The sequence below is a fragment of the Homo sapiens genome, chromosome 3 (assembly GCF_000001405.40).
Source record: "Homo sapiens chromosome 3, GRCh38.p14 Primary Assembly".
NCBI classification, from domain to species: Eukaryota; Metazoa; Chordata; class Mammalia; order Primates; family Hominidae; genus Homo; species Homo sapiens.
Window position 1 is genome coordinate 10,739,685 of NC_000003.12, and position 25,254 is coordinate 10,764,938.

At 47.1% G+C, this 25,254-nt stretch overlaps 1 long non-coding RNA gene across 2 annotated transcripts, besides 2 other annotated features; it reads right to left on the reverse strand.

The window, feature by feature from the left end:
- Positions 14,377–14,577: a silencer, noted in NCBI's record as "peak4540 fragment used in MPRA reporter construct". NCBI's record gives its function as "represses an SCP1 promoter by STARR-seq MPRAs in K562 erythroleukemia cells {active_cell/tissue: K562}" and the evidence as "EXISTENCE:reporter gene assay evidence [ECO:0000049][PMID:32103011]".
- Positions 18,920–19,214: an enhancer, noted in NCBI's record as "tiled region #1605; K562 Activating DNase unmatched - State 12:CtcfO". NCBI's record gives its function as "activates a minimal TATA promoter and a strong SV40 promoter by Sharpr-MPRA in K562 cells {active_cell/tissue: K562}" and the evidence as "EXISTENCE:reporter gene assay evidence [ECO:0000049][PMID:27701403]".
- Positions 19,658–24,525, reverse strand: LINC00606 (long intergenic non-protein coding RNA 606). Of its 2 annotated transcripts, none has more exons than NR_152730.1 (3): positions 24,377–24,525; positions 23,148–23,238; positions 19,658–22,238 (listed from the first exon to the last, which is right to left on the reverse strand). It is a non-coding gene; the product is annotated as a long intergenic non-protein coding RNA 606 (long non-coding RNA). The 2 variants fall into 2 exon arrangements; NR_027102.2 differs by lacking the exon at positions 23,148–23,238 and adding an exon at positions 23,516–23,813.
- Between the last annotated feature and the right edge of the window lie 729 nt (positions 24,526–25,254).

Sequence of the window (25,254 nt, forward strand, 5' to 3'; positions counted from 1 at the left end):
ATGGATATGGATATGGATATGAATATTAATAGAAGCTGACATTTAGTGAGGGCTTAGTTTGTTCTAGGCACTGTGCTAAGAATTGTACAACATGACACCATCTAATCCCCACCGCTGCCCATAGACATTGGATACTGGGATCATACCCATTTTACAGTGGAGGAAACTAAGGCTCAGTGAAGTTAAGGAGGGAACCTCACCAGTCATCTTCCAGTCAGGGAGTCTGCAGCTTCTCATAATCCATACCTGCCATGCCATGCTCCCTACCTTCCCTGCTGTTCACTGCAGAAGGTCCCCAGTTCTGTCAAAGGTCATCTCTGGACCCATCACTGCATGTTCTAGAGAGCTTGACTGCGTAAATACTTTCTAATGCTAAAGTATTGTTGGAAACCTCTCCTCCCTTCAGAGGAGACTGCTGCCCTCAGGGGGCTGGGACTTCCCCAAACCACAAAGCTACTACATGGCAGGGCCTGGACATGAATAGGGGTCAGAGATATTTCCACTTCTCTATCCCCAAGGGCATCTTCCTCAGTGGATGCTCAATGAATATCTGTTGCTTGCAGAAAACTGCCTCCTATTTAACACCTGATATTGACCTAAAACTATCAGGACTTTTATTTCCAATGCTCAAGCTGGTTTTGTTTGTGATAGCTAGAATCCTCATGCAATGACATGAAGGAGATTGAACTGGCCATTGCGGGGCCATGGCGTACATTTTCCTAGTGCCCACTATGTGCCAGACGTGGTTATACTCATCACATCATCAGTTCCTCATGACGGCTCTTCAGAGGAGTCCATTTGACAGATGAAGTGGAGTCCCAGAAAGCTGAGAACTTTCAATACCCTGGAGACGCTCAGAGCTACTCTTCAGGCCCCCGCACCCTTTTCTGTCCCACTAACACACCAAGCCCATTCCCTTCTCCAGGCCTTTGCACTGGCTGTTCCCTCTATGCCTGCATGCTCTTTCCCAGGGTCTTCTCCTGGCTGGCTGTTCCTCATCATTCAACTCTCTGCACAATGTCACCTCCTCTGGCCACCCTACTGACCCCTGTCACTCGCTACCTCACTACCCTGTCCAGCGGTGGCTGTGCTCTGAGACCCTCATTCATCTATGAGCTTGCCTGTTCATTGAATTTATTTCCCGCATGCATGAGAGCTCCCTGAGGGCAGGGACTCTGTCATCTGTGTCCCAGCATCCAGAACAGTGCCTGACGTATCAGAAGTGCTCAGTGAATATTTGTTGAATGAACGGAATCATTTGCCGGTCTTGTCCATTGGATCTCTGACAGCCTTCTGATGTAGTAGGAAGATGGCCCTTCCTACCGCTGCTGCTCAGCTGTGACCCCAGTCCCTGGGGACCCTGCCAGGTGTCTAAGCCATCTGATAGAGCATCTTTCTAACCCACACTTCTGTCCATGTCACTCTCCTCCTCAAAAAACATCATCGTCATCATTATCATCATAATCATCATCATCATCATCATCATCATCATCATCATCATCATCAATCTGTCACTTGATGGAGACTGTGAAGCTGTCTGTCATCATTGCTATATTAAAAGTCCCCCGTATTTCAAGGTTTTATCCCAATTTAGAGATGGGGGAACAGAAGCTTAGACAGGTTGAGGAACTCGCACAGGCCCACACAGCTGCTGAGTGGGCAAACTGAGATTTGAACGCAGGTCAGTGTGATCCCAGGTCCCCACTCTTAGCGGCTGTCTCCTACCATAGAGCATAGCTTTCACGTGCATCAAACTTGAGCATGTGTCAGAATCATCTGGAGAGCTTGTTAATACGCAGGTTACTGGGCTGCACTCCCAGAGTTTCTGACTCCACTTGTCTAGGGTACGGCCTGAGAATATGCATTTCTAACAGGCTTCCAGGTAAGATGACCACTGGCCTCACACTGAGAGAACCACTGGCCTGGAAAAAATACACAGCAGCCCAAACAAATAGAACTTTGTCTGCAGTTTCAGGAGGTTCATGGATCCCCTGCAGCCTCTCCATGTGCTTTGGGAATAGGGAAGGATCTGTGGACCTCACCTTCAGAACCACTGTTCAAACAAACAATGTAAGTCAGATCCACGACATCCTGAGGCCCTGAGTTCTGTTCAGCAAGTTTCCTTTAAGCAAGGGCCACCAGAGTCTCGGCCTTAGTCCCTTTGCAAATCTGACTCTTTCTTACTAAAGTTAATTATCTGACATTGAAACGTACCCTAGCTGACACACCACAGAAAGGCCTCCACTTGTCTCACCGACGCAAATGATAAATAGAGGGCCCAGAGCAATTTCTCTCAGAGATTTCATGTCAGTATTTTAATAATCATTGAGCAGGGCCCTGGGAGCCAATTACAAAACTAGGACAGATTTTTTTCTAAAACTACTTGGTTTCCAACTCCTAAAACTTGTAGGCGTCTAAAACTGATGGATCTGAAGGGTTCTGACATAGTTTCCCCCAAGGATGAGTCGTGCATAGAATTTGAAATTTAGTTCCAGGAAAGCTGAAGCTGTGATGTTTCCCTCCTCTTCCCCTTCCTCCTCCTCCTCCCGCTGCTCCTCTTCCTCCCTCTCCTTCTTCTCACTCTCCTCCTCCCATTTTCCTCTCCTCTTCCCTCCCCCTTCACCAGTCTCCTTACTAAAACTGAGTTGCCCTGAGACTGGAGCCTGGATGTGGGAAGCCTGCCCGATTGTTGGCTGTGGGCACTGGGAGCCTTCAGCCTTCATCCTTTCTCTCACCGCTCTGCCAGCGGTTGGGGAACCTACACCAACTGCCTGGGCCACAGGGGGACTGGGGGGCCTGGGGCCAGGGTTCAGGGAAGCTCTGGGGCTGGGAAGTGGCCAGCCATGCCTCCCAGGACAGTCTCAGGGTCTAGGACCCTTGGGAACCTTGGCTGGTTTCCCCTCCTGCCTTGGTGAGTTCCGGATTCTAGGCCCACACATGGCAAAGACCTGAGTCCTGTTAAAATCAGGTCATCCTCCCACAGCCCCCATGGTGACTCCAGCACAGGCTAGTAGCAGGTACTCAGTCATCAATACAAGCCTTCAAAAATGTAAATCCGATCATCTTGCAGCCGCTCTCCAATCACTGGCTCCCATCACACCTGGACTAAAACCAAGCCTCCTTTGCAGGGCAGCCCCAGTCAAACCTGCTGACTCCATCTCTCTCCATTCTCTCCCTTGCTCCACCTGCTTGGCCATGCTGGCCTCCTTGCTGTCTGGTCCTCAGGCACTCCAGGCATAGTTCTGTCTTAGGGCCTTTGCACTGCAGTGCCCTCCTCCCCAGACAGCTGCATGGCTGTCCCCCGCCTGATTTAGGCCTCTGCTCAAACATCGCCTTCATAGAGACCCCCAGCTAAAACAGTGCTTCCTACCCACACTGCATGTGCTGCTCTCTTTCTTCAAAGCACCAGTCATTCCCCTTATATTCCGTGCTAACTGTGCATCTATTTATTATGTCTGTCTCAAAAGAAGGTCAAGATCATGAAGCCAGGGGCCAGGTCTGGTCTTCATCTACCATTGTATCCACAGGGCTGCACTCAGAGGAAATAATAAATATTGAATGAATGAATGAATGAATGAGACAATGAATGCTCCCACTGATGGAGGAGTTGATGTGAGCTAGCAGGGTGCTTTTTGCATTGATCCTCTCACCCATCCTGCAAGGTGGGTTTTTTCAGTTCTCCTTGGGACACGATGATGGCTCAGCTGAGAAAGAAGGCTGATGTACCCAAGGTCACCCAGTGGTGAGGCGGCCCTGGGCAAGCGACCCAAGTCTGTGTCACTGCATGCCTATGGATGAGTGGTTACCTGCTGACAGCACAGGCCAGGCTCACTGCAGGTGAGGCGGCTCCTGGGAAGGACCAGTCCCATGGTGATGGAGTACAGGTGGAAGGTGAGAGCTTGGGGGTCAGGCAGCAACATGGTTGGCTGCTGCAAGGAGCCTGGGAGTGCCCCTAGAGGGAGACTGAGGCTGGGCAGGGCCCTAGGCAGACCTCAGAGCAGTCCCCAGAGTGGAGACTGTCTGAAGGCTAGAGCTGGCCAAGGTGGGCTGGTCCCAAATCTTTTCAAACCCTCCACCCTCCCCCGCCACTGACTTCTGGAGCTGCCATGGCCCGGCCCTGCCAGGATGGGCTTGTTGGACGGGGCTGGTGCAAGAGGTGGGATAGAGACAGGGGCCAGGGCTGGGGGTTGTGGACTCCACTAGTGGACTGTAAGCTTCTGGCTGGGGCAACAGAGGAGGTGGCAGAACGATCGGGAGAGAAGGGAACTGGCTCTCTGCTCAGAGCACCCTGGAGCAACACACAGGCAATGAGAAGTCCTGGGCATCTTGACCGTCAGCGCGGTCCAGGGCCCAGCATGCTTCCAAGAGGCAGGCAAGAGAGTACCTGGGGCTTCTCCACTCCAAGCAAGTGTGGCTCCACCCAGAAGGACATAGGGCCTGGGAAGAGGAGCTGCGGTGCTCAAGCAGCAGAACTTCCTCCAGGCTCACTCCAGGATGCACTGCAGGGGACACTGTCCTCAAAAGCAGGACAAGCCTGCCACCCAGTGCTGCCGGGAGCCACCACAGCAGCCAGGCAGGGCGGCTGCCGGTTCCAGCCCCATGGGGGTGTTCCCCAACCTGTGTCTGGCCTCTGGAAATCACAGCGGGCTTTAGGGCTCTGTGATGACTCAAGCTGCTCCCTCCTCACCTAAGAACACCGCCTTGCACCCGATTCTTCACACCTGATTCTTCAATCCTCATCAACTTGCAAGTTTAAGAGGACTTAAAATTCCAGGAGGGAAGCACTGTGGGTCCGGAAGGTCATGGCCTGAGTAAACTAAAGCAGCAAAATGACTGAGCGGCCAGAGGGCAGGGAATGCAATGGAATATCAAGTCTCAGGCATCCACTGCAAATGATCATTGTGAGGAGGGGGCGGCAAGGGGCGGAGGCGACGCTCTCATAAAATGAAGTCAGCCTGAAAACAACATTCTGCTGGGCCCCCCTTACCAGTCAGGTCTGTTCAGAGGGCTTTCAACTAGGTGGAAGGATTGTACCCAACTGGTCTTTTAATATTTTTATTATTATATATTACATAATGTTATGTAACATATTTTATTTCCAAATTATATTATATATTTATATGATATATAATATCATATCATATAATATATATAACATATATAATATTTATCGTACATAATGTATATTTTCACTATATGTAATATATGTTATATTATATAAATATATAATACTATTATATAATATAGAAATAAAATATATTAATAATATGTGTTATTATTAATATATAATATAATATGTAAGATTATATTTATAGTAATAGTTATTAATATATCAATATAATAATATAAGGATATTTTATTATATTAACACGTTAATATAATATATTAATATATTAATAATTAATTTAATATGTATTAATCGATATATTATATATTAATGTTTAATTAATATATTCATAATATCAATATGTTTATATATTATATTATGATATTATAATATGATAAAATATGACATTCATAGATCATATATTAATATGTTATATTAACATATTTATATATGAATATATATGACATATATAATATATTCATGTCATACATTAACATATAATATATTAATATATAATATATTCATTTATGTCATACATTAATATATAATATATAAACATATAAAATACATTAATATATAATATATTCATATGTCATATATTCATATATAATATATAAATATATAAATGTATAATATATTAATATATGACATATGAATATATTAATATATGTCATATAGAATATGATGTTATATATGAATATATCAATACAATATATTAATATATATCAATATAATATATTAATAGATTAATGACTATTAAATATATATTTATGTATATTCATATTAATAGTTATTAACAGTCAAGATATACTTGTCATAAAATCATTAAAATAAAATTAATAATAATTAATCTTCACACTTCCCTATGACCTAGGAACCCCCATTCCCTCACTTTACAGATGAGGAATCTGAGGTCCAGGGAGGTAAAGTAACTGATTCAGGGTCAGAGCTAGAACAAGCCTGAGCCAGGATTTGAACTCAAGTCCCCTGGCCCCAGAGCCCAAGATCCCAAGCCACGATGCCATAGAGGCTTCCTGGGTCTTATAAGTTTTTGGGGGTTATCAATACAAATCTTGGAGAAAAAGATACTTCCTTGAGAAAAATTGGTTTGAAAACGTCTACTAAGAAACAGCTTTATGCATATTTCTCTTTAGTTGTGCTTTTTAAATGGTTTTATATTTGGAGAGGAGAAAGAAAATGAGAGAAAACAGCAGCACCAACAGGGCCAGTCTAAGGCGAATTTGTGGAGGACTCTGGTGTTCTGAAACCTCCACTCTCGCCCTTTCTCTCCCTTCAGAAGGTCCTATCCCCACCCCCAGTCACTCTTTGTGTTTAAAGACTTGCTCTTGTGAAAACTCCTAATCAATGGATCAAAAAGGAGTTATAGGAAATAAGGTTTTAGGGGAGGGCAAGAAAGAGGAAGTGAGGGTGGAAAGAAGAGACGAGGAAAGGGGAGCGCTGATGCTTACTGAGCCCAAAAAAGGACAGATGAGGTTCCAGGGTCACCCTCATGTTTTTTATTTGAACCTTACCTCCACCCTGTGGGATGGGCATTATTTCCCCCACTTAAAAGGTGAGGAGACTGAGGCTGAGGGGTTTGGGGGGCTTGTTTGAGGCCGCCCAGATAGGAAGTGGCAGAACCAAGACTCACACCTCGTCCACTCGACTTCACCCATGTTCTCACTCATCCTGTGGAGTCCACTGAGCCCCTGGAGGTGCCCAGCACCCCGTGGGAGCTGGGAGTGCTGAGATGAATGCAACCCAGCTCCTCATGTCCACCAGTTCAGACCATCATTGGATGTCATTGGCCTGACATGAGGGACATTGGACCCGCATGTCAGGTAGGGCCCATGCCACTGAAGTGGTAACCAGACTCCTAGTTCAGGCTGAGCCTATCCTGGCTTTTGCACTGCTGGAATATTACACATGCAGCAAAAGAACCATGCAGGAGACAGCACTCTCCACTTGGTCACCGTAGAAAAGCTAACAAAGGAAGGAGAGCATGTACCATGAGAAAAGATGAGATTTGGTGTTTTAAGTGACTGTGCCCCAGGTTAGCTGTGTGACCTCAGGCAAGTCACTTCACCTCTCTGTGTTTCAGTTTCCTCATCTGTAAAATGGGGTTGATGTTTTTGGCTTAGCCTACCCACAGGGCTTCAGGGGGCTGTGAAATAACATAATGGGTGTGCAGGCAATCTGTAAACTGGAAAAGTATTTTGCTATACAGGTGATCTTATTACGATCATCAAACATTATTATCAATTACTTTCTGAATCACTCCTGTGAAGTAAACTAGTGCTGAGATCTCAGGCATCAGACTTCCAGAATTCAAGAGTGGCTTTGATCATGGGTGGCTGATTCTCCACCTGCCCCCAGCCCTCATCATTAGCACATGGATGTCTCTCATTGATGAGTTACTCTGTCGATGGGCATCTCCCCCCATTTGATAGATGAGAAAAACTAAAGTCAACTTGCCCAATGTCTTTCAGCTTACAAGTAACAGAATCCCGATCACCAGATTCACTACCCCTTTCTACACCTGTTACCCTTCCCTGTGCCCTCACACCACCACCAACACCTATACAAAGGATTAGCACAAGAGAGGGAGCTGGTGGGGGCTCCAGACTGGGCTGGCATGAAAAGGCAGCCCAGTGGCCTAGGATCAAGATCCTGAGGACCAAAGACCTCATTTATGAAAACGAAAGCGAGTCTTGAGGAAAGTTAATTGAAGTGAACGAAATCCCGAAGAATTTAGCACTCAATTTGAGATACTATTTTTGGCTGAAGCAAGAATGAAAAGACAAAGGAAAGTGCACCGAAATGGAAGAGAAACTAATTTGGAAGACATAATAGGGAGCAAACTTCTCAAATTTCCTCTGAGCCCAGGAGACGTGATTATTCAAGAAATAATTAGATGCTATCCTGGGGGTAATAAAAGCTAAAAATGAAGAGGAAAGAAATTGAAAGCTGCCAGAAAGGTCACAGGCTGCTCTCAATATTGTTTTCCTTTATAGATTTGAAGATGCAAGAATTAATTTGAAAAAGAACAATAAAGCAGTACAAACTAATCGGAGGGGAAATTGAGCTGGGAGAATCTCAACATCTTACCCACCTGGATCACTCTACTGGGAAATGCAGAGCCAGGTGGATTGTGGACCTAGAGAGGGTAGGCAGTCCCTTCCTAAAATGGCTGGAGGAAGGCAAAAGGCAAAAAGGCTGGAAGAAGGCAAAAGGGTGTCTCCGGTGTCTCCAGTGTCTCCTGCCCCAAAGCTGAACTGTCCTCTGACCTTTGGCGTCAGCAAACCTTTTTCTGTAAAGAGCCAGATGGTGAACACTTTTAGCTTTAAGGGCCATAACACTCTCTGTTGCAATTACTGCTGCTGTAGTGTGAAAGTGATAGTAGCCAGTATGTAATTGAATGGGTGTGGCTATGTTCTAATAAATCTTTATTTACAAAAACAGGCAGTGGGCCAGATTTGGCCCACAGGGCATAGCTTACTGCCTGAATTACTGCAGTAACTCACACCTGGGCTTCCTACTTGCAGTCTGACTCTGCTTCCATCCACTAAAAAACATTGGCTACTAAGAAGAATCTTTAAAAAATGGAACTAATGGTAATAATGATGATGATGACAACAGTAACAACATGACAACTGCTAGCACAGGGACACGGAGTACTTAGTAGGCACCAGGCATGATTCTTAGCACTTATGTAGCATCTACTGTCTTTACAAAAACCTTTATGAAGACAGTATCATTTACAGACGGGGAAATGACACCCAGAGAGGTGAAGTAACTGACCCAAGATCACACAGCTAATGGGCATCAGAGGAAGGATTTGAGCAACCCAGACAGTCTGGCTCCAGAGTCCATGCTCTTGGCTTATATTTTACCTTTTTTGTTATATCTTACTTCCTAAAGTATGAATGGCTCCAAATTCTTCAGGGACTTCCCACTGCTTATAGGATCAAGTCCAAATTCCTAAGCTCAATATACCAGGTCATCTGTGACTTGGTTCACCTCACCTCTCCACCCTTTTTCCAAGTCTCATCCCTATGTATCTAGAACAGCTTGAAGAGCCCCAAATTTTCATCTGCATTCATGCTACTCCCTCTGCCTGGATTACCCTTTCCTTCATTCGTTAACACCTACTCTCCCTCCCAGACTCAGCCCAAGTGTCATCACCTCTAAACAGCTTTCTATGACCCTGTTGCCCTTTCCAATTTGATAAGTCACTTCCTCTCTTTGGATCTTAGTTTCCATGCTTATCAATTGATGGAGGGTATTGAAAGGGAGAGAAAGAGTGTGTGCTGTATGACTCCATTTCTTTTGAAAACATTTAGTCTACCTAAGTGTGAAGTACAGCTCAGCTTGGCTGGGTGCCTGACAACCTGTCTTTTCAGTCTGTTTCTCCAGGGACTAAGCTCTTCCCTCTGGACCTGCAGAGGAAGAAAAACTGCTTCATGTGAGCCCAGACTCCCTAACTCCAAGAACAGTGCAATTTTCTCAACTCCATACTGAATCAAGAACTGCATTTGCCAGGAAGGGAAGCTCAATTAAGACATCCCTTCAGAATACCAACTCCTTCTGCTCTCATTCTGATCCTCCAAGGAACCTCTGACCTGTCAATTATCCAAAAAAATCTGTTATCCCCCAATGCACTATTCAACACTTTCACTCTTTTCTCATTCCTTCATTTAAAAGTAACTTTGATTTCTCTCACTTAGCTTGGCAGAAAAACAAATACTGCATGCTCTCATTTATATGTGGAATCTGAAGTAGTCAAACTCATAGGAGCAGAGATTAGAACAGTGGTTCATGGCAGTAGGGGGAGGGGAAAAGGGGGGAGATGTCAGTCAAAGGGCACAAAGTTTCAGTTATGCAGGATGAATAAGTTCTGGAGATCTAATGTACAGTAACAATGTGACTATAGCTAACAATACTGGATTGTATACTTGAAATGTGCAAACATTAGCTTGACTGTGGTGATTAGTTCACAATATATACACATATCGAATCATCACATTGTGCCCCTTAAATATATACAATGTTAATTGTCAATTATATGTCAGTAAAGCTGGGTGGGGGAAACTTTGAATTACAGCTCAGGAGTTGCAACAGACTGCTGTTCTAGGCTATGACCTTCCATCCTTCTATCCATCTACTTTCCCTTCCATCCATCCATTCTTCCTTTCATCCGTCTTTCCACCTATCCAACTATGCATCCATTCTCTTATTCATGTCATCCATTCACTAATTATAGAATTGACTGAGTGCCCACTGTAAGCCAGGCCCTGCACTAGGGTCTAGTAGACAGAGGTGACCCCAGCAGACAAGGACTCACCCTCGTGGAGCTCGCCATGTAGTAGGGAGGACAGAAAATGCTCATTCTCCTTCCACCTATGGATCTCCCCTCCCCTGCCATTATGCATAGGATACCCTGGGTCCTGTTTCCTGGGGGTGCCCAAAGTCCTGCCCCACCATCCTCATGTTCCCTCACCTCCTCCTCCTTGTGTCTCTCTTCTTCAGTGGTCTGCCTTTCCTTCCTCCCCAGGGGATAACACTCTACCTCCCTGTTCAGGCTAACACCCCTCTTCCTCACCTCTGTCCTCTTGATCTCATTCGCTCATGCCTTCTGCAGCCTCTTGATTCTCCGTTAATTACCATCTCCTTTCTTATTTATTTAATGTTTGTATTCAACAACTACCACCTTGGTTTGAGCCACTGGGATCCGCAGTCAAGACTATCGCAATTGCCTCCTCACTGGTCTCTCTTGCCCTCCTGGAGTCTCTTCTCAACACAAGGATCTGCATAGAATGCATCAGATATCAACACATGTCTGTTCCAAACCCTCTGGTGGATCTCCATGTCACTCAGAAAAAAGCCAGAGTCCTTACTCTGTCCTATGAGGACCCACGTGATCCTGACCTGCTACTTGTCTGATTCTTCCCCTACTGTTCCCCCCCACTCACCCAACCCAACCACACTTGGCTGTTTCTCAAGCATGCCTGCCTCAGGGCCTTTGCACACAGTGCTCCCTCCACCTGGGGTGCTCTTCCTCCAGATCTCCCATGGCTCACTCTCTCCATTCATTCGGGACTTCCTCAAACACTCCTCATCAGCCAGGCTTTCTCTGACCACTGGCAAAGAATAGCATCCCACTCCTCCTCTGGACTTATTCTCATGACATGCTCAGCTACTGGACATAGAAGACATTTGTTGATTTATTTTGCCCTATTAGAATGCAAACCCCATGAAACCAGGGGTGTCATCTGTTTTGGCTCACTGCTGTATGTCCAGCACCTGTCGCAGTTCCTGGCACAAGGTATATGATAAACACATATTACAGAATAACTGAATGAATGCATGAATGAATAAATATCCACCTCGCTACCAAATCTTCCCCTCATCCTTCCATCATGTCCAAAGTCTCCATTGTTTAAAACAAACAAAACAAAACAAAAACCTTTCTTTGCCTATTGAACTTATCATCTTTGTTTTTCCTCTCATCACCAAATCACTTTTTGCAGAATTACCACAACCTCATGAAGTCGTGCAAAAATGAAAAGGCTTATATGATCCCATCAGCGTCCAAAATAACTACACATGGCTCTTTTTGTTTTTTACATAAACGCCGTTAACTCGCACATAAATTTTGAGGTCCTCTCCCTCGCCTAATCGTTCCCTGTACATGGTGATGTTAGTTCTAGATGCAAGGTGGCTCAAGGCAGTATTTTGGAATTTTGGAATTTCCTTCATTCTGGTTCCACTTCCCAACTTTTGCCACCCCTGCCACCCTCTTTACACTCTTCAACTCAGTATTCTTTCTTTAAAATAACTCACTTTTTTATTTATATACAACTATTATTATTATTATTATTATTATTATTATTATTGACAGGGTCTCACTCTGTTGCCCAGGCTGGAGTGCGGTGGTGCAATCACAGCTCACTGGAGCCTCGATCTCCTGGGCTCAAGCAATCCTCCTGCTCCCGAGTAGCTGGGACTGCAGGTGTGTACCACCACTCCTGGCTAATTTTTTTTTTTTTTGTAGAGATGGGGTTCTGCCATGTTGCCCAGGCTGTTCTTGAACTCCTGGGCTCAAATGATCCTCCCAAAGTGCTGAGATTACAGGCATGAGCCATGGAGCCCAGCCAGATAAACTTATTTTTTAACTTTAAAACTTATAATACTACCAGAAGTGGGAAATCCGTGTGACTAGCCAAAATTTGAGTGTAACTATAAAAATAAAACAAAAACAATGTGATTAAATGCTAGATGGAGACTGGCTGTTACCTGCTGAAGGCTCTGGTCTGAACCTCCCCATGCCTGTGGCTCTTTGTGAAGATCAGTCAGCTCAGTGAGTGTCTGAGTGCCTTGAGGACCCGGGAGCTCCAGACCGCTGAGACCCTCCCACGGGAGCCATCGGGACCGAAAGACCTTGGCAATGCACTTCCATTCACACAAGGTCCTTCCAAGGCACTGAATGCCCCTGAATTCATGGCACTTGATATCCCACTTGTGTTCCCCCAAAACAAGTGATGCGTGAGCTGCCACCTTTGGAAGGTCTTGTAATGTTGGGAAGAACTAGACTTCAAGGCAGCCTTCAGGGCCAGTTCTTGCCCAGTCAGTTCTTGACTAGTTCCTGGCTTGCTCAGAATCTCAGATAAGTCACTTCTCCTCCCTGGAAGTCAGTTTCCTCATTTCTAAGAGAAGCAGCTGATTTCTGGGATTTCTGACATTTATAATCCACTGGGCATTATGCTTATTATTTTAATGATAAACTTAATATTCCACAAAATTAATATGCCACAACTCACTTAACCCTACTATTTGGCATTTATATTATTTCTGGTCTTTTACAGTTCTAATGTGCTTCCCCCTCTCCATAAAAGCAGGTTTTCTATTTTAAATTATTTCAGGATAAATGCCCAGAACTGGGATTTCTGGTTTAAAATATGTGGGTCTCAACCTCTATTGGCTGACGGCCCTCCCAGAGGCTTGCACCATTTCACAGCTGCACACGCAGGGCCTGGGAGAGTGCTCAGGGGAGAGCCTTGAGTGTGAGCATGAGGAAATCTCTGAAACCCTTTTTAGACACATAAGCAGTCGGAGGCTTTGGGCAGATTGTGAATTGGAGAGGAAGAGCTGGTGCCCCTTCAGGCAAAGCTGTGATTAGGCTTAAAGTTCACCCCTTGAAAGCTCCACTGGCCACAAACATTCTCCCTCTTTGCGCTTCCTCCTCTCTCCCCAGTGCTCTGACATCTGGAACAAGTAAAAGATTTCAGAGGAGGGAACCTTTCCCCCTTGTTTTCTCCTGTGGCCTGTCACTTCCCCTGACTTCCTCCAATGAGGAGGCTCCCAGCCTTGGTCCCACCCATCAGGATGGAAATAAATCCAAAACTGCAGCCAACACCGGCACACTTTGAGATCAGTTTAGATGTTTGGGAATATTTTATTCTTGGGTTCTGAGGAAGGATGTGTGCTTTTTCTAGAGCTCTCTCTCATTCATTTCTTAGATAAACAATTTCTCTACTTCATCCCACAGTGGGAAGGCTTCCCTCTGTATCACAGCATACACTCCCATCTCCTGCATGAGCGTGGCTGCTCCCCAAGGGTGGGGATTTGTGTCTGTCTTGTTCACAGCTGCATTTCTTGTGTGGAGAGCAGTGCCCGGCACATAGAAGAGCCTCCGTGCGTGTTTGTTGAATGAGTGGATGTTGCACCCAAGATCCTCCACTTTGCCTAAGGTGGGCTATGGGGTCAATTGTAGGAAATGGGGCCAATCCATTTCAGTCAAGCTTTCATCCCCAAAGGGCAAGACAGTTTTCTAACAACATGGCAGCTTATGGAGAAATAAGGTTTTTCTAGAATGGAGAACTTCAGGATTATTCAAGTTCAAATTCAGAATGTGAATACAGTGAGGTCTATGAGAATCATTTTTGCAGAAGATAATTAGAACGTGTTTCTTTCTACCCCTGGAAGAAGGAGACACTCAATCTGAGAAGAGAAGAAAAAGGTTAAAAAGAGAGAGAGAGAGAGGCAAGAGGGAGAAGAGAAGGAGAAGAGGAGAAGAGGAGAAGGTGTTACTCGGAGGACAAATGCAATCAAAGAATAAAAAGCCAAAAACTTCCAGACCTAGCTGGAAAATATTTGTTCAATAAGTCATAAAAGCATTGGGGACAGGGAGTAACTAGGTTTAAACTGATTAAACATAGGTTTATAGATGTTTTCCAGGGTGACATGGCAAGGTTGCCCCAGTCCTGCATTCTGCTCTCCAGAACCTGCAACTGAGGAGTCACCTTCAGGGGAAGAGGTGGGCCAGGGAGGAGGAGCCAGCCTCGGGCACAGAGAACCCAAGCCAGGACCCGTCAGGACCCTGGAGAGCTCCGAGCCAGCTGGATGTTCAGTGTTCTGCACCATGCAGCAAATCTGGCCAAGTCGGGAGAAGTCTCCTTTCTCAAACCCCCTTCTGACTTTTAAAGGAAGGGATGCCTTCCACTCTGTTGAGAACTTGTGTTATCCAAGGACGCAGAGGCTAAAAAATAGAATCTTGGAGTGTTGGGGCGGAAAGTGGCTGTCACTGACTTCCCTCTGAGATTCCAACCTCAAATCTGACTACATCACATGATCAGTGGTCAAGTTCTGGTTCCAAAGCTGGTCTCTAACCTCGGGGAGGAAATTTAACACCAGAAAGCCTACAATGGAAGAGCTACTAAAAGAAACAATAAATGGCTCACATTCTGTGAGTAGCGTGTGTATTTGGTTCTAGAGCCCCAGAGAAGTGAAATGAACTAGACAAAGTTACCCCTAAAATGTTCCATATGATTTGGATGTGTGTTCTCTCCAAATCTCAGGTTGAAATGTGATCTCTAAAGTTGGAAGTGGGGCCTGGCGGGAGGTGATTGGATCAGGGAGGCGGATGTCTCATAAATGGTTTAGCACCATCCTCCTGGTGATGAGTGAGTTCTCGCTCTGGTAGTTCATGAGAGATCTGATTGTTCAAAAGAGCATGGCACCTCCCCCCACCACTTCTTGTGCCCACTCTCACCATGTCACATGCTGGCTCCCTGCTGCCTTCCGCCATGATTTTAAGCTTCCTGAGGCCTCACTAGAAGCCAAGCAGATGTTGGTACCATGCTTCTCATACAGCCTCCAGAAACAGGAGTCAGTTAAACCTGTTTTCTTTGTACATTGCCCAGTCTCAGGTATTCTTTTATAGTGACACAAAATGGCCTACCACAACGATGCCTCACATTCTCAAGAGAAACCAAATGTGCAAAGGGTTTAAGAGTCTGTTTGACTCTAACTCCTCCTCAGAGAGCAGCAATGGATCTTTTGGGGTTCCCGCAAGGTATTCCCATCTAATGGCACCAGAAGAGTGGTCCACAAAGAATCTAGGCTTTGCAGTTCTTTGTACTCTACCCTATCTTCCTTTTCCTCTTTCCCCAGTAGAAAGCCTGCAATGTGAAAGAGCTACATAAAAACCAATAAATGGCTCACTGTCTGATTAACTGTCATGGTGCTTATCATAGCTCACTGGACAACGATTGACTCCTTGCAGGTTGGAGAAAGTATGAGCCCCTACTTGTTCCAAAATTTGCTTTGCTTCTTGCCTGGCTACAGCTTAGTTCCTTCTGGGGCTCATCACTACGTGGTAGTTGACTGTGGCTACAGAGGTTGTGAGGCCCTGATGCCTAGCAATTCAAGATAGCTGGATTGTGATGCCAATACAGCTTAGAGAGAAAATGGCTTGCTCAAGGTCAATAGCAAATATGCAAAACCCAGAGCTGTGATGGGCATGAGAAGCTTCGAAATTTGGAAGAGAGACTCAAGTCTCAAAGTAAAGCTCTCATTAATCCCAGGTGGTACATCTCTTGAGGCCTGCAGGATTCCCTTAAATGTGTCTGGCATTGAGTTTTATCCCCAGTGTGTGTCACGAGAAGCATAAAAATGTGATCCTTGTTTGCAAGTGTCCCCTCACCCAGGCGTGATGAGGTCAGAAATTCCACCCTTGCAGACAGCAGGGGTTTTTTGGGTTGAGCATTGACCGTCTTCCTGGACGCTCATTTGGAAGGCAACCAGTGCCTCAAAGACGAAAGACTTCCACAGCTGACCTCTAGCCTTGAGTAGGAAATTTAACACCAATAACTGTACCCTTGGGACAGGACTTCGCAAAGGTCCAGACAGTGGTAGTGGCTTAGTTCCATTCTCAACCTGGTCTTCTAAGACCATTACTGCTTTGTGTTCATTATCTATGAGTGGTTTGCACCTTTGGTTTCATATTAGGACCACTTGGGGAGCTTTTAAAAACCTCAAGACCAATATTCCACTGGTAGTTTCTGGGGATGGAGCTCAGGCCTTAGTAGCTTTTAAAGCTCCCCAGACGACACCAGTGTAGCCAAGGCTGTGAATTGCAGCTCTCCTGGGAGAGCAGAGAATGGAATTGTAACCACTTCTAAGTCCACTGAGCTGAGCACAGTGTCCTGCCCACAGGAAGCAGTTTTTTAATCCATATTGCACTAACGGTGGAAGTTAGATTGAGTTCCAGTACAAGTAAAACTCCCAGGACCTTACATGGCTATGCTGACCAAGCTAAGATTTATTTCAGGAAAAAAATACAAGATATTAAGACCATTAAAATGAGGATATGCATCAGGGCCAAAGGCTGCCTCATAGTGAGGGGTTCTGAGAGTCAGGGGAGAGCTCCAGTTGTTACACTGATGTGGAACGACCATGTGCTTGTTCTTTCAGATCAGGATCTACTGATGCACCTGAGATATTAGAATCAGGAAGCACACAATGGAGGGCTCATCGTGTAGGCACACATGCTGCGTTACCAGCCCTGGCACTGCACAGGGCTCCCTGAGGGAGCCCCTGAGGCCAGTTGCAGGTCATCAGTCTCATTGTGACCCTCAAACAATGCTGACAAGCTGATATCAGACACCCTGAAACTTGTCTCCACCCATGGCCACCAGTCAGTACCCTTCATGCCTTGCCCAGGGGTCCATGCTGTGCAGGCACATCTCTTACTTCAGCAAAACAGCCCAGGCTGATGCCAGACCTGCTGCAATGAGCCCTCAGTGCACCTGGGAGATAAATTCAGCCTGCTTTTCTTGAAACCTTGATACTCAAAGTGAGGTCTTGAATGAAGAGCATCAGGGTGACCTGGGAGCTTTAGAAAAGCTGGATGGCAGGTCCCAGCCCAGAACTACTGAGTCAGAACCCACATTTTCACAATGCACTTCCCCCTCGGAAGTCCTGTGCACATTGACATCTGAGATTCACTGCCTTGAAGGCCACCACACTCATGCTGTTTCTCTTCCCACTGTTCAGGCTGGCCCTCATGCCAGCGAGGCCAGTGTGTTAAGACCAGTGTGAGCATCCCAAGAAGAGGAAAGCCCCTGCATCACGGCCCAGACCCTAAGCCCACCATGTCAGCTCAGGGGGTGCAGAGTGCCTCTATAGCCTGGTCCCCTTCACTGGGAACCATCATGACTGAGGGCTGGGTGACCTTGTGCTGGTGGTGCAGGGTGATTTGTGTCCAGGGAACAGGAGGGCACTCCTATCATTGCCACTCGTCTCTCACCCAACGCATATATTCAGATGAAGTCAGGGCAGAGCTGCAGCCACTGCAGCCTTGAAGGGGAAATTCGCATGACTCATTCACTATTACCACGACCGCTCACAACAATAGCTAACGTTGAATACCCATCTTTGAGTCATCCTACTATCAGCTAGCATTTATTTGGGCATCTGGTATGTGCCAGGCACCATGCTCTTTATTCACACTAACCTATTCATCAGCACAACCTCACTACATTGATATATTGTTCAAGATCACCCAGACTGAAGAGGCAGTGCCAGGATTTGGATCCAGGTATCTGATTCCAAAGACTTCACTCTTAACTCTTACCCTGCTCGTCTTTGAGAACTGGCCCATCCAAACATGTTACAGGAGTGAACACAATAGATACAATGTCTGCCTTGTGGTCTAAAAGGAGTCATTCCTGAGCATGTGTGGTGTGCACTGTATCATTTATTTACACAGCAACCTTAAAAGGTGAGGATATTATGATCCATATTTGACACATTGAGGTAGGGCTCAGAGAGGCTGAGTCACTTTCCCCAGGGTCACACAGCTGGGTCTGGGAGGGGTGGAAGGGGTGGATGACAGCTCCAACTTGCCTCTGTGAGAGCTGAAGGGCTCAGGGTGTGTACGTGAGTACTGGGGCTTTTCCAAACTTCCCTGGCTCCTTGCCAGCTTTCCTCAGCCAGAATTTGGGAGTCCTCAGAACCCCACAGAGGGAAGCTAGCATCTTCTTTGTTACACTCTGGACTTCCCAGAGGCGGTTTCCCTGCCCCCAACGTGCTGCATGTGACTTGATCTCTCCGAGCCCCTGCTTTCCGGTCCGTAAATGAGATCTTGAGTGGTCTCATGTATGGTCACTGGCAGGGTCAGTGGGATGCCCAAATAAAACAGCCCATGGAGGAGTAGCAGCAGCAGTGGGTGCTTATACACGGCGGCTCCTTCTCTCAAATCTCAGGACCGCTGTGAGGTCTGGGAAACCCACACCCCCACTGGGAGAACATTAGCTAATAGGAAGCATCAGGAACTTGTCTTCTTTTTAGAGACAGGGTCTCACTCTGTTGCTCAGGTTGGAGTACAGCAGCACAATCATAGCTCACTGCAGCTTCGACCTCCTGGGCTCAAGCCATCCTCCCACCTCAGCCTCCTGAGCAGCTGGGACTACAGATGTGCCACCCTGCCCAGAGGAAGTTTTAAACTTGACCACTATCTCCTAGCTAAGAGAGGGGCATGAAGCCCAGGCCCCAGAGACACGGTTCCTCTGGCCGCAACCTTTGCTTCCAAGCATCTGAGTAACTAACTGCCCATCAGGGATCAGGGGAAAGAGGCCCTTCCGACACCAGCGCAATATTCTTCTGCTTGGCCACATGAGGGCAGCACACGCCTGTATAAAGCACAGCTCTGGCTACAGCTCCGCCTGGGGATGAGGATGTCACTCAGCTTCCAGAAGAACCAGCTGAGTTCATGCTTGCAAAGCCACCAGATCTCTGTGCCCTATTGTGCCTACTCGCCTTACTCTGCCCAGTGTCCCTCCTCCCACCGCCCTTGTTTCACAGATATCATCCAATCCTCTCTCCAAGGTAAGTGTTTACTTTAAGCGTTAAAGCCATAGGCTAAACAGCCTCCCATCATTTTCCGTTCAGCAAATATTTACTGTGCACCTGCTTCATGCCAGGCACTATTCCTGGTGCTGGAGACTCAGTAACAAAACAGGCAGAGATCTCTGTCATCACTGAACTCAGTCTCATGGAATGTTTGGGCTGCTGTCCCCCATGCAACATTTTATTATGTAAAATGTTCAAACATGCAGAAAAGTTGAAAGAATAGCACTCGTGTAATGAACCCCATAGACCCACCATCTTTATCACATAACTGCCCACTTATTTATCTCCTTATCCGTTCACTCTACTTTTAAATGCATTTCCAAATAAGAAGGAGACATCACAATATCTCTGCTTGATATTGTTACCCAGAGGGCAGTTTATTTGTGCCTTTTAAAAGTAAAATCAACATATAGTGTGATGTACAGATCTTAAGTGACCCATCAAATGACTATTGACAAGTACACACACTTGTCCACCCAAATAGAATCAAGATAGAAAACACTGTTAGCTGCCTTTTATTAGCTCTGCAATTTTGGGCTGGTTATTTAACTTTTCTGGATTAGTTTTCAGAGTTAAAAAAACAAAGTTGTTGAGAGAATTAAATGAAATAATATGTGACAGTGCCTGGGGCACAACAGACACATGGGTTAAGCAGTCAGCCTGCCTCAGTGGAGTTCCCACTCCACTATGTTCTGGCTGTGTGACTTTGGACAAGTTGCTTAACCACTCTGAACCTCTGTTTCCTTCTCGGAAATCAGCCATAACACTACTTTTTAGCAACATTCTCAACCATGGCTGAAAACTAGAATCATCTGAGGAGCTTCTAAATATTACTAACATTTCCTAATTATTTGAAAATCTGTAAATATACTTTTGGATTAGAGAATGGTTAGAGTTAACAGAACTGGGTTCCACTAACTTCTGCTAACATGGGTGTCAGCTCTCTGGGCCTCAGTTTTTCATCTCTAAAATGGCTGCATCATGGGCTTGTTGGGGGGTCTGAGAGGAGGTTGAGAGCTGTGACGTGTTCCACCCTTATTAGATATCTTTATTTAGAAACATTGGCATCAGAAAGGGCCTTCTAGATCTTAATTGGACAGAATTAGCCATTTTAGAGAAGAGGAACCAAGGCACATGGAAGAACCAAACTTTTTATCATACCTTAGAAAATTCAATCTGGCCTTGATGATGCCTCATGCCCCAGGGGTACAATGACCCCAAACAGGTCATATCTTACCTTCCTCAGGCAGCCTCTCCCAATCACACAGGTATCTTTCTCTTTCCTCTCTTGTCTGCTTTATATAGTTAGGAATTTATTAGAAACTCTCGTGTTTTCTACTATATAGGAAAAATGAAATTGGTGGCACATCTACCTCCACTACCCATGCCTGCGCCCCAAACAGACATTAATAATGGATTGCTGAACTTTTTCCCACTGAGTCCATGACTGCCTTAGCTGTCTATCCTACAGAATACTCAAACAGACATAATCAGATAATCACTGTTGAAAGGTTAAATAAAATCTCTTTTGCTATTTTTCTGAGATGAAATTTAAATAAATATTGGCTGGCAATGTCAGCTGCTTTGTTTCCCCAAATAGAGTATCAATTCTTCAAGGACAGGACCATATATTATCTTCTTCCATATTCTAACAAATGTTCAAGCATTTTGGAAAGCAGATATCTTTAAGCTACCTTTCCTTGACTGGAGAAGCAGTGTGCCATGGTGGGCAGCACAGGGTCTCTGGAATAGATAATCCTGACTTTTAAACATAGTTCTGCCACTCGCTGGTTGGGTGACCTGGGGCAAAATGACTTCATTTTCTGAGCCCAGTTTTCTCATCTACAAAATAGAGGAACATACTTGCCTCTCTTTCAAGAATACTGCAAAGAGTTTGTGAGCCCATGCAGGTAAATCTCCTGGCACAGTGATTGGGACATGGCAAGTGCTCAGTAAATGACAACTTTGTCATTAGCACAATTGTCAAGGTGGAGGAAGGAGGATGTGAGCTAAGTCTATACAATCATAAGTCAGACTCACTCACTGGAACCTGACACAAAATAAAAAAGACAGCCATCGGTGCCTGGAACAGGCGAGCACATGATAAGTATGTGTCACTTGCACGGCAATTAATACAGGTATTTGCCATTGCAAAGGTAACGCTTTCTGGGACAGAGCTAGATCAAGAAATGTCTGGGTGAATTTGTGCCTGGAGAGCACATGGGACCCTGGAGAGAAGGGAGTGACGGCCTCACCATGCCAACTAGTCAGAGTAGGGCAGGTATGTCTGGGAAATGACCTGTCTACAGGTGACGGGGAAGAAGGCGAGCCAGGCAGGTGAGACGGTGTGGAGAGGATGGGGGCTGGTGAGCCAGTGTGTGTCCCAGCAGGTGAGTGGAAGAACACAGCCACTTGTGAGAAGCTGAGGGGCAGAGACCCAGGCAGGTAGGTGGGAGACATTTGGCACCAACTGCATGTGGAGGTGCAGAGGAAGTTTCCAGGTTTGGGGGCAGGGATGGCAAAGAACAGAAGAGAGAGACACTCAGTAGGGGGTTGGGTCTAAGAAGGAGGCTTCATTCAGTTTAGCAGCCAAAGGGAAGTGCAAGGTCAGAAAGCTCTGTCATGCATCCCCCAGAATCAGCAGTGATCTGGGGGTGGGTGTGCTGTGAAGCCCCCCCGAGGCTGCCCTCAGTGCTATTGAGATGCCCCAGCCCCTGGCTTCCCCAAGCAGCTCCCTCGTGCTCAGCAGGATGGCACAAACATCACTCACTCTCCTTGTCAGCGGTTGTCACAGCACATTTGTGGCAGCAGCGTTCATCCACGCTTCAGGAAGTCGGTGAGGCTGGGTGCTTCAGGGGATGGCCAGATTTAGCGATGCCTCATATCCTCGGATGACATCAGGGGACTCACTCCCTGACCAAAGCAGTGGAAAATGGGACTGGAAAACAAAAAAGAAGGAAGAATAAATCTATTCAAATGCTACCTCCTTGATTGCATGGGGCCTTTTAAATGTGTCCTGAGCAGGGACAGAGAGAGAGGCCTCAGTTCTCATCCTTAGTTCTGTCATGAAGTAGCTGTGTGTTGCAGAAAATATCAGTCTGGGCTTCAGTCTCTTCACCTGTAAAATGAAGATAATTACAGCTGCCTGGACAAATGGGGCAAAAACGAGGCTCAGATGGAGAGCACAGACTCATAGGCAGGGGTGACAAGTGCAGGTTCTCTTGGGTGTCGACTCTGCCTGGTGGTGGCTGCCTGATCCCTGCATTGAGAAGAACGCTGAAGCTGAGGCCAAGCTGAGCCAGAGAGAGTGCTAGGATCGATTAGCTATGCCTGCCTCAGGTGCCAGATTGGAGGGCGCTCCTGCTATGCTATGTTTGCCATTTCTGTCCTAAATGGTTTTTAGGTATCATTATTATCATTTCTTCTTTACCCAAAGCCAAAAGCACCCTGAGAAGAGGCCAATGGGCAGGTCTGCACCCAGGAGGCTTTGGTGCTAATCCCACAGCCCTCTTCTTCCTTTTTCTTGGTTTTGTTTATTTTTTTTTTCCTTTTTCTTCCTTTTTATTTACTTATTTATTTTTTTTCTGGGTAGCACAACCAGGTGAAGGAGACTCAGGTGAGACTTCAGGATGAGGATCAACAATGTCAAACTCTGAAAGACAGAAGGAACTGGAAGCCAATGTCAAGTTGGCAGAAGTCAGAGGCAGCAGAAAGAAAGCAGACAGCTGAGCCCAGAGGCAGAGGGAAGGCGCCTTTCAGTGGGCAGAGGTCAGACACACCTGAGGGCTGGGGGTGGAAGTGAGCATGAGGAAACTCGGCAAGGGAAGCAAACCCTTCCTCTGCGCACCTGCAAAGAGCCCCAGCTCTGCTGTTGGCGCAGCCCTCTCCAGCTGCACGGCTCAGGGGAGCTACTGCTCTCAGAGCTTCAGTTTCCTCACCTGCAAAACAGAGGTTGTTGTGAAGGCTAAATGGCACTACGTCATAGCAGTGTCTCATGGCACCCCCCTCCCACCAGCCTTTGGGTCCCAAGGTCGTTCTTGCAGGCCCAGCCCATTGGCTCCATCTGGGAGACCCAGGGCCAGAGAAGCAGAGTGGGCCCGTGAAAGACAGGAAGGGTGGTCCGGGCCATCAGACATTGACAGCCTCTCTTGTGCCTGCTCCCAGGCTCTGACCCATTCATCATATCCCTGATTCTAAGTTGCCTGGGATTTAGACCTGTTTCTGCTCCAGGATGTCCAGTCCCTCTAGAAGCAGCTTGGAGTGGTCTGGGAGCGGGGGACACTCGTGGCTGCTCCTTTGTAGCAGTTCTAGAACTTGCAAGCATGGGACAAAGATGATCATGATCATTTCGCTCATCCCTCGGGGCTCTAGCCCCTTCCCGGAGAGTGCTGTCAGGCTCAGGGCCCTGCATTCCAGTCCCGACGGGCCACTTCCTGGCTCAGAGACCTCCAGCACCACTCTGGGCCTCAGTTTCCTTATCTGTCAGCTCCCTCCCAGCTGGGTGGTCATAGGTCTAAATAAGATCACGTGAATATATGAAAGTTCTCTGTAAACTGCAAAGTATTAGCTGTACGTTAACCTCTGTCCTCTCTGAAATTCACAACTCACAGAATTACTGGGGGTCTTTTCTAACAGGACAGTGACAGGGGAGCAGATGGCCCCGGTTCTCTGAGTCACACTGCACGGTCGTCCCACCCCCACAACTGCCTCATTTTCAGCTGCGTCCTCTTCCCTCCACTCCAGTTCAGAGAGCCTTTCAGTTACCCTAATCACACTACACATTACTTGCAGGCCTCGGAGCCTGTGCTCAAGCCATTCCTTCTGCCGGGAATGACCTTTGCCTCCCTGCTTGGCAAACTTCTATGCATCCTTCAAGACTCAATGCCGATGACAGTTCCTGCCTGATACCTTCCCAAGGCAAAGGGTGTGCCTCCCTCAATGGGCTCCCCAGCCTCTATTTTCGAACCAGAGGAGTGAGAACAAACCGAGTTGGCATGACGGACGCACCCCTGCCCCGCACACAGTAGGTGCTTAGCTGATGTGTGGATTTGAACCTGTTGCCTTCCCCTCACTCACCCAGGACTGGTCTTGACATTCAGAGCTCAACTCACATCCGGGGCTGTGTCCAAGCCCTCTATTCTGTTTGGCTCAGATGGCCCCACGCTCCCTGGGGCAGAGCCGTCCCGAGGCAGCCTCTGCCTTCATGATGCTGTGTCTCTATGTGTTGGGGTGTGTGGCAGTGGAGGGGCTGTGGTCACAGAGGAGCCAACCAGGAGAGCTGAAGGCCGCCCGTAGCCATGGAGACAGGGCCCCCGGGCCAGCCAGGCCCGGGCTGGTCAGTGAATGAATAAACGTGGCCCATTTTTCTGCTTTTGTCCGGAGCCTCCCTGGGGCTTCCTGCTGTCAGCCCCAGCTGTGGGGAAGGCGGAATTTGCCTGATATCGCGGAGCCGCCGCCTGGCAGCGCCGAGCCTGGCCTGGGCCGCTTCACGCCAAGATTCATGCCCGGCTAACAAGCCCCACTTTGTTCCTGTGGGAAAGTCCAGCCTCTCAGGAAAGAGCCCTCTCTCCGGCCGGCCCCTGGTCTGGGGACTCAGCGAGGCAAACAAAGCCTCCATCCGCTGGCAAGGATTCTCAGGCCCCGAAGTCCACCTCCGTTCCCCGGCCAGGGGAGGAGCTGCTCTGGGAGGCGGAACTCAAGCGCATCCCTTTGTCCCACTCATCCCGGAGGCCTGAGATGCCACCTGTCTGGCAGGTCTCCCCCACTGCCCCTGCCTCGCCTCTGGCTACAAAGTGTGGGCTCTGTCAGAGCAGCTGGCCTGGGCTGGGGCACCCAAGGCCTTGGGGAGCTCGGCCTGGCCCCTGCTCCCTGGAGTTGAGGCCCAATGTACCTGCAGATACGCCCCAGGGACTGGGTGGAGTCCTGATGGCACTGCTGTCCAGACGGTGACCTTG